The 9,665-nt window shown below is 39.2% G+C and overlaps 1 annotated feature.

Annotated features, from left to right (window-relative positions):
• Positions 9,270 to 9,371: a silencer, noted in NCBI's record as "fragment chr1:69273286-69273387 (GRCh37/hg19 assembly coordinates)". NCBI's record gives its function as "represses an EF-1alpha promoter that drives an FKBP-Casp9 reporter gene in an ReSE screen in phorbol 12-myristate 13-acetate-treated (for megakaryocytic differentiation) K562 erythroleukemia cells {active_cell/tissue: K562(+PMA)}" and the evidence as "EXISTENCE:reporter gene assay evidence [ECO:0000049][PMID:32094911]".

Here is a 9,665-nt window from a genome sequence, read left to right as displayed (position 1 = left end):
AGACTTTATTGCCCTACCTACTGTCTTTATTTTGAAGTTTATCAATCTAAACAGACCCCTTCCTCAATATTTGCAAAAGTTACACTTACTGTTGAGTACAGTAGATTTTGTTGAATATATGAGGACACAAAGAAAGGGTTTGCACTTTAATAAAACCAACAGTTTCAGTGGAGTACTAGACGTCACTCATCTTAAATTTTCGTTTGTTCTTCCTATGATGAATTTTGCCCTGGTCACTTCATTCCAAGGAGTGTGTCAACCTCATGCCACCTCACTGATTTTTCTCATTCTCCGTGTCTTAATGACTTCTCACTCACTTTTATTTCTTTCCCATTTCCCCTTTCTCTCAGGACCATATTCCTCTCAAACTTTTTTAAATGTAGTTAGTAAAGTTCTCTGTTGCCTTTCTACCCATTCACTCTGAACTCATTTGTATCCCAAATGGCTTTCAAGTCTTTTTCGTTAGATAGCTTTCTCCTAAAAGGAATTCTTGTGCCAGCTATTAAGATAATGTATTTTTTATTTTTACTATGTAATGATGCATAATTCATTGTAGAAAAAATACTAATACATTTGTTATTTAATATTTCTGATTGAAGAATTATTCTTCCTTTCTGAGTTCTATACAGTTGGCACTATACAGACAGGGCAGACTGTCTAAAATGTATGTTTAAGTTTTGGATAAAAGTACTGTGTCAAGGGTCTGCAAGAACACCCTCTAGCTTGATAATTCATTAGAAGACTCACAGGATTCAGAAGCTGTTATAGATGCATTTTACTATGGTGGAAGGATTCAGGTTAAAATCAGCAAAGGAAAAGGGAACATGGGGCAAAGTCTGGGAGAAGCTGAGTCCACGCTTCCTGGTGTTTCTCCCAGTAGAGTCACACATGGATACACATAACTCTCCATGAAACGGTAAGTGACAATACATGTAAAGTGTTGCTAACCAGGGAAACTCACCCTAGTCTTGATGTCCAGGGATTTTATTGGAAGTTAGTTAGTTAAGTATGCAACATCTGCGTGACTAGCTTACCTAAGCAGACTCCAGACCCCCAAAGTAAAAACAGGTGTTCACCATAAATCACATTGTTAGCATTACTCTCTGGTCAAACTGGTAAAGCATGCCCCAAGGCCTTAGGCATACAAAAACACTTATCAGGCAGGCATCAAGCTGAGCTCCCATGGACAGCCAGGACCCAGTCTGAAAAACAGGATTTTGTTGGGAATATAGAGAATTTTAGCAATCCAGTCTGTTAGGACATTAATAGATACTATGGTAACTCTAGCATATAATTTCTAGTGTTGCTTCTAGTATCCTATTCATTACATTTATTCATTCATCTAGGCATTATAATAGGATAAGTGTCTCAGAAACATAAATCCAGCCAGTCATGCAGTATGTGTCACTATGAATCAAAGTCCTTCAAAGAAGATACTGGGGACAGCTGTGGGACAGATGGGAATAACCAGACATTCTGAAGATTACCTTGATGGGTATACAGAACTAGATGTTGTCCCCATTCTGGGAAAGAGGTTGCATGAGATCCCAGCTGATCCTATTATGAACGTACCTATTATGTATCCTATTATGTACCTATTATTTACCAAGTACCTATTATGTATCATATTATGTTCCTGTTATGTACCTACCTATTATGTATCCTATTATGTACCTATTATATATCCTATTGTGTACCATGTAGAGTCTTCTCTACCTGGTCCTGTCTATTGTTTTGTCCTTTTGTGCCCATCATGGTTAATCCCACGAGCACTAGGGAAAATATTGAAGCATTACAAAGTGGAGAAGAGTGAGGAAGTAAATCAACTCTTTTTCAGAGACACTGCCCTTTGTGCTGTACAACATCAAAAAATAAGGTTAGTATCTCCTCAAAGACCACTGAATTTGCTAGGACTGTAACCTGAGAAACTGTCTACATCCACTACTCTTTGTACAAAGCAGATTATTAAAACTGGCCCCTTGAAAAGGAGGGCAGAGGCAAAAGCAAGCAGCAAGTACTTCCTGCTGACATAGCTAACAGACCTGCCACTCATTCAGGGTTGCATTTGGTAGAATCTGTCCGTCTTTGTCCCTTTCTTCTTTCCCTGCTTTCTTTCTTCTTTCCATTACATTCCTCCTTCCTTTTATTCCTTTCCTCCACCCCTCTCTCTTTCTCTTTCCAGCCTTTCTTTTCTTCTGTTAACAAATATTCACAGAACTCTACTAGGTCGCAAAAGCTGTACTCTGCACTAAGAATCCAGGAGTAAATAAGGGCAATAGGGCCACTGCCTTCATGAAACTTACAGTTTCACAAGATCCGGCTTTCTAAAGCATAAAAACTTCCATGACCAGCCACTTTTCACATTTGAACACTTGCTTCACTCTCCTGGCTACTCTCTGGTCACTCACCACTGACTCCATCTTAAAGCCCAGTACCTCAAGCCACACTAAGAGTTCTTCCTTGCAGGGCCTCACAATTCACTTTTCTGCTCTGAGCCTCGAGTGTTCTGCATCCTCTGTTGTAATACTCTTTCCACCCAAACCCTTGCCCTTGCCGTGGTTTCTTCTATTCATCCCTCAGGTTTCCTCTTAGTTCTAAAGCAGGGAAGCCTTCTCTGGCTATTCTCTGAGATCAATGCTACTTCTCAAACACCTCCATGCTGGCATGTGAAAGCTACAGGCATAGCAGCTGTCATTTCAAGCTCCATGCCTGAGCCACACAGGGAAACCTTTCCTATGACACATCAAATACACCCACAGGAAGCCATCCCTTTGAATTTTTCTAATTGTGGAATACACTTGAGTAATTTCTGCAGCAAATGAATGCTCTGTCAAGAATTCGAAGGAGAATGTAAAACAAAGAATCAACATCTCACTTCTGCTACTCTGAAGGAAACAGGCACAGGGTTTATCTTGTTATTAATCCTTTGTTCCCCATTATTCCTTCATTCAACATTCAATAATTGTTTAACTCTTTTGTGCCCCCACATAAACAGTTTTCTTCTGAGGGACTCTCACAGTCTTCCTGTTGGCAGTGGTATTAGATTCCTGTTTTGCTACTGTCACAAATTACCACAAACTTCATGGCTTGAAACAACAAATTAATTTTCTTATACTTATGGGAGTCAAAAGTACAACACAGGTCTCAATGGGTTAAAATCAAGGTGTTCGGGATGTGTTCCTTCTGGAGGCCCTAGGGGATAATTTATTTCCTTGCCTTTTCAGCTTCTAGCAGCTCCTTGCATTACCTGACTTAAATCCTTCCTCCTTCTTCAAAGTCAGCAGCATAGCATCATCAAATCTCCCTGCTCCCTGCTTTCACTGTCACATCTCTGTCTTATAATGACCTTTGTAATTATGTTAAATCTATCCAGATAATCCAGAATAATCTTCCTATTTGGAGACTCTTAATTTAACCACATCTGTCAATTCCTTTCACCATGTACGGTAACATATTCATACGTTCTGGGGATTTGGACATAGACATCTTTGGAGGACCATTATTCTATCTGCCTTAGCCATAAATGGTTTTCTCTGCAGCCACTACAGACATGCTTTCTACTTCATATCAGAAATGTCTTTAAATTACTTGATTCTGCATCACTCCTGTATTAAGCAATGATGTGAACTGGTCTTGGTATGACTTTAGTGTGTTGGTTTGGGTTTTTTTTTTGTTTGCTTCTGGTTGGTTGGCTTTTTCCCTGCCTCACTGACCTTGCTACTAACATCCTTGTTATACTCCACCACTAACTGCACCCGGAAGCCTGGCCCTTGGTGACCACATGTATTGCTCTAGTTGGTGTTGGGGGTAAGGAGAGCCTCTCTCCAGTAGTGTTGAAACTATTATAATAGGCTTCCAAGCAGGGCTACCTTGTTCTATCAGTCTCTTGGAGCACCACTTATATTATAGTGCTTTTATTCTCCATTTGCAATCTAGGAAGGCAGGCTTTTTAATCCTGCTATTCCATGGATGTGCTGTGTTACTTTTGGCAAGTGAATTATCCTTCCTCTGCTGTATTTCTCATGTGTAAAATGTATATAATAATATCTACCTTCTAGATTTTTTGTAAAAATCAACTGAGGTAACACTTGGAATGCTCCTTGTGGGGTACATAGTAGAGGCTGAAGGAATTACATTGATTTGTTGTGACACTGATATGCACAATACACACGTGGAAGAAAACACGAGGGATTCAGCTGGAAAAGTAAGATAAAACGAGGTTGTAAAAGGCCTTGCATGACCAGATAAGGAGGTAACGTGATACCTGGAATCAAACTCAGAGCCTTTTCATGAGCAGACCAGTCTTGGGTGTCCTTCTCTTAAAGTATCCTTTCCTCTCTTGGCCTCAAACAGTTTCTCAAATCTCACTTTATACCAGAAGTCTTTGGTGAACATTTGAAAATTGGCAGCCAACTCCTACTAAAAGCACAATTCACAAGTCTCTGCTTTCTCTTTCTCTCAACACCATCTACAGGATGCCCTGATATTTTTGTCCTCTAAGTAATGCCAGACAGTTTGGCCTAAGTAGATTCTTGGTTTCACAGGCAACTAATAACTCCTAGCCCTATAGGAGCTTCTTATGCTGAACAAGAAGTTGATTAAATTTACACTCAGGTGCTAATACATTATTTATTTACTTAGTTATGTATTCATTGGTGTTACCAAACATTAAAGTAATTTTTAAAAAAGACTTCTGCAGACCTACTCCTCAGTTTCTGTCCCTTCATAACACAAACCTCAGATCTAAAGGCTTGAAGGTGAGAATAATAAATCAAACACTGGTGTCTCGAATTTGTGCCTCCTTCATAGCTTTAACCTCAAATACAATCAGTTTGCAAGTCAAAACAAGATTTTAGCAACTGCCAACTCATCTTGGCATCTGAAAAATCAAGCTGTGTTCTGATGTTTGCTTCATAAATTAGAACCAACAATAAAGATTCTGGAATCAGGGCTTAAGTGGCAATTTTGTTGATGATGCATGACGCAGAACAGAATGCATTTTGCTCAGCCGCACGGAGCTGCCTTGGCAAGGCTGGCAGCAGTAGGGCGTTTTCTGTGTGGGATGTTAGCTAAGGTTTGCAAAAAGCCACCAATTATATACCTTCTGAGTCAAAGAGATGCTTTTCATAGATATTTATGTACTTTAATGCTAAATGGCCAGAATTCCAGGGGTCATCAAGGACAAGATGATCTTAAATAAAAGTAATAATTTCTGTCCCATTCCAAATTACACAGATAACTTGCATAGGACCATATCAGGGGCAACTACTCTCATAAGCTTTGGGGTAAGGAATTAATTTATCATTGTTAAAGGAGCAACCTGTGTCAGAGAGACACCCAGCACATTGCCTAAGTTCACTTAGGTAACTACAAAGCTGAGACTGATTCCTGATCCATTCTTTCTTTTCTGGCTACCTGGTTCCTGTCTGGGAATGTAATCACTCATTTTTCACCTTTAACTACCTCAACCTGAACCTGCTTGTCTGCCCAATAAGACCTCATTTGTTCCTTTTGATTGCCAGCTTTCCCCAAGGATGCTCATGCTCAAATCTTTACTTCATTCCATTATTGAGTCTTATAATCGAATTTCCATAGTTTCCCACCCCAAAATTAGCCTCTAAAGACCTCTAAATAGTTCCTTTTGAACAACTCAAGGAATATGTGTCATTTCTGTAATTCAGAACTAGGAACCAGATAAATAGGATTCATTGTCATTTTTACCTAAAGATATGCATTGTTCCCTAGAGATGAGAAAACTCTGTTTATTGCTACTTTTGATGACTACTATCCCCACTCTCCCCCTTTCTAAACAAAATACAAGTAGAAAGCAATGGACAAAACTAGAACTTATTCTAGAGTTAAAATTGATATTGGATGAAACAGAACATTTTTATGAGCACCATACCTTGGCTAACCTGAATATCACCACACCCACATGTGCAATTTCTCAAAGGTAGAGAGCAATCCTTACCCCTTACCTCCAGTTTGGTGCCTAAAATTGAGGAGATCAGCAGCAGCTATCTCATGATACATCAGCTATATCAATCACTTTCTAACGGCATATCCCCTGCCCTCCCCTGCCACAGAAATAAACTCTTATCCTGGATTTTTCCTATCCATTATACTTCTGAGAACAGGATCATCCAGGAATGGGTTAAATGCTTTAAATACATGGCATTGTCTCTTACCAAAGGGTATCACTTCACAGTGAAAGTGGGGAGGAAATAAGCTGATGTCCTTTGGGGCTCACTGGAATTATTAGGTAGCCTATCATCTAAAAACACAGCTGTCGGCCGGGTGCGGTGGCTCACACCTGTAATCCCAGCACTTTGGGAGGCCGAGGCAGGCGGATCATGAGGTCAGGAGATCGAGACCATCCTGGCTAACACGGTGAAACCCCATCTCTACTGAAAATACAAAAAATTAGCCGGGCGTGGTGGCGGGCGCCTGTAGTCCCGGCTACTCGGGAGGCTGAGGCAGGAGAATGGCGTGAACCTGGGAGGCGGAGCTTGCAGTGAGCCGAGATCGCACCACTGCACTCCAGCCTGGGCGACAGAGCGAGACTCCGTCTCAAACAAAACAAAACAAAAAACAAAAAAACGAAAAAACAGCTGTCTTTACTTTGAACCAGTGACCCACTTATGGTGCTGTTTCTTCCATAGCCAAATTATACAGGTCTAAGAATCAATCACTTTCAAATTTTGTTTTTCATACCAGTAAATCTAAACCCTGGTGTCCTATAGATTTTAGTGACCAAGAAAATGACATCTCCACTCAGACACACAGTAATACTTAGACCAAATAGTAGTTGAAATTGCCATGTGAACATTTCTATTTTCTTGGACCACTGATTGAACCACTGAGAAATAGTCCCAGTATTGCCCAAATTGATAAAACTAAATATAAGGAGATAATTGGCTTCTACTATACTCCATATGCCAAGAGGGAGTGGGTAGATTTCTGGAACTCCAAGACTTAGAGGGCAACTTTTTTGTATCGCCATATCCAAAGGAAAAGGTTAATGGAAAATGACCTCAATTTCATATTGGCAAGACGGCCAAGAACTCAGACCCCACAGGAACGAAGATCACATCTTTTGAATAAATTCTCTATACTGCTGAGGTATTATCTAAAGGCTAAAGAAATACAGGATATGTGGCAGTAAAAATACTGGTCCCCTCTCTTTTTTCTTTTTAACATGAGAATAATTAATGTAGTCATTGCCAGCTTAATAGTATCCTTTTATCCCACTAGTATATATTAGGTAAATTACTGGTGGTTTTAGCTTCCATTTAATTTACGGATCATGAAAGGGTATGGAGTAACAGCTATATGAGAGTGTGATACAGGTAAAGGAAGAATTAGCATCACCTGGACTGTGTGGATGATGTAAACAAAGGACTTTAGGGGGTCTTCATGATATCACAACCACTGAATTCAGGGACTCTATATGAATTTGGATTTCTTACTATAGATAAGGTAAATGCATTAAAGTCGTATGCATGATTATTGGATCATGTGAGATGCTGGCATCTGTAGAACTATGAGGAAGAAAGCCAGCTCAGAAAACTTTTTAGCCACCTAATTTGCATGCAATCTATTTTAATTATCTTAAGCAACCTACAAGGTCCAACCAAATTAAACATCCTTTTAGAAGAAGGCATTATAGTGCTTACGTATTAGGTACAACGAGAAGGAAAGGAGAAAACATCAAAAAGCACTAGTCACACCTTGCTTCATCTCATACCCTTGGTCCCAAGGTAGATTTCTCTGATCTGTGTATTCCCTAATCTGTTGCAGCCTGCAACAGATTGATCACAATGACCCCTCTAGAACCAAAACATGACTATTGTTTAGACTCTATTATCAGTTGCTTGTTTTATGAAGAAAGTGGAAAGGGTTCAATTTGAGTCTTAGAGTGTCCTCTCAAGATGTACTTTGCAGCAACCATACCTGGATGAGGCTTTCCTGAATGTACCCCTCACTGCTCTCAGCTCCTGACCATTAGGAAAAAAAAAAAAAAAAAAAAAAAAAGCTAGCTTCTTATTATTCTGGTATCTTTCTCCCAAGGTGGGAGGCTTTTCTTTTTAATTGGTTCAAGTTCTTTATCTTACATACACAAATTTGGCAACATTGAAATCAAAACATCTCTCTTGCCAGATCCTGCTAAGCAGCTCAGAATCCTCTTTATCTATTGTATATTTTAAACAAAAATGTTAGCATAGCTGCTGCTTCTCTGTTTCTCAAGGAGTTGTAGATGAGAAATCTAACCACATTCTTCAAATAAACCCTTGATACAGAGGCTGTTTTTACCATTCCTTCCTCTAGCCAGGATGAAATGATTAGAAACTTACTTTGAGGTAGGAAGGCTGTGAGTGGATGAAATCAAAGGGTGATGTATACTGAACAGGATGCTTGAGCTGGCTGCTGTGCCCAGCCTCCCTCTTCTGGCTGTAACTGCACTGCCCAGGCTTCCTGTTCTGGGAAGCAGATAAAACCTCTGGAGACCAGAAGTGGCCTTATGACCATAAGGCAGACAATCCGCAAGCCAATTAGAGAAGTATTTCATAGACTGCTAACAAAGATGAGTTGAGGCAATTCACTGTTAACCCATGGAAAACAGAGCTGAAAGAGTAGGCGGAATTTGCTGGTCAGGAGCAAAGTGATCAGCAAGCATTTGGAGCACAGCAGAATCCTGAGTAGTAGAACAAAAACCCTCAAACTTCTGCTGCTATAAGCCCATGATTTACACACAGAACAACCCCTGATTTAGACACAATGCAACACAATGAGTTATTTGACCTTTAGAATTCTGCATCTTGATTTTTTGGATTGCTCATGTTCCTAATCTGTGTGTATCTTTATTTGAGAAATCTTGAATTGAATGGATTTATATTCTATGCATTAAAGAAGTCTAACTGAATAGGTGCTTTAAAAATTCAGTTCAGTTCAACTCATATTTATTAAGAACCTTCTAGGTTCTAAGCTATGTCCTAGATACTGCAGATACAATGACAAATTGTTCATGAAAGCTTCTGCTTCCAGATTTCTCACTGTCCAGCATGGGAGAGAGAAAATTTCTTCATTGTATTATCTTTCATATTCAGGGCAGTATCTTAGGTTTTGTATCATGTATTAGTTAATTTTATCTTCACATAAATTCCATAAATAAATTGTATTCTCACTTAACACATTGTGAAAAGAAGTTCTGAGGGATTAATTTTCTTACCTAAGACTACAAAACTGGTAACAAGCAGAAAGATAATATAACCTTAGTTGTTCTTATTTAAAATTCAAGCCACCCTCAATACTCCTTGCTGCCTCCCTCACAATAACAACTATTTAATGTATGTTCTATGTTTGACTTCATTTTATCTTACTTAAATATTACAAGGAAGTCTTACTATTCACTCCCACCTTATAGATTTTTTAAAAATTATATTACAGAGGATATAATATAGATGGCAAAGTGACATGTTTAGTGGAGTTATGGCCAAAACCGAGACACATCTGTTTGAAAAGAGTTGTAGAATAGTAGGGAGAAAGCATAAAAGGGTACCATGACCATCTAGTTCCTGTCTTGAAATGTTTCATCTGTGTTCACTTGTACCTAATTTAATTGCAAATTAAAGTAAGGCCCTGTATCTTCTTATAGGTGTCCTATA

This window comes from Homo sapiens, chromosome 1 (assembly GCF_000001405.40).
Source record: "Homo sapiens chromosome 1, GRCh38.p14 Primary Assembly".
In the NCBI taxonomy this organism is placed as follows: Eukaryota; Metazoa; Chordata; class Mammalia; order Primates; family Hominidae; genus Homo; species Homo sapiens.
The sequence above is the reverse complement of the archived record's forward strand: the minus strand, read 5'-3'. Positions and strand labels throughout refer to the sequence as shown.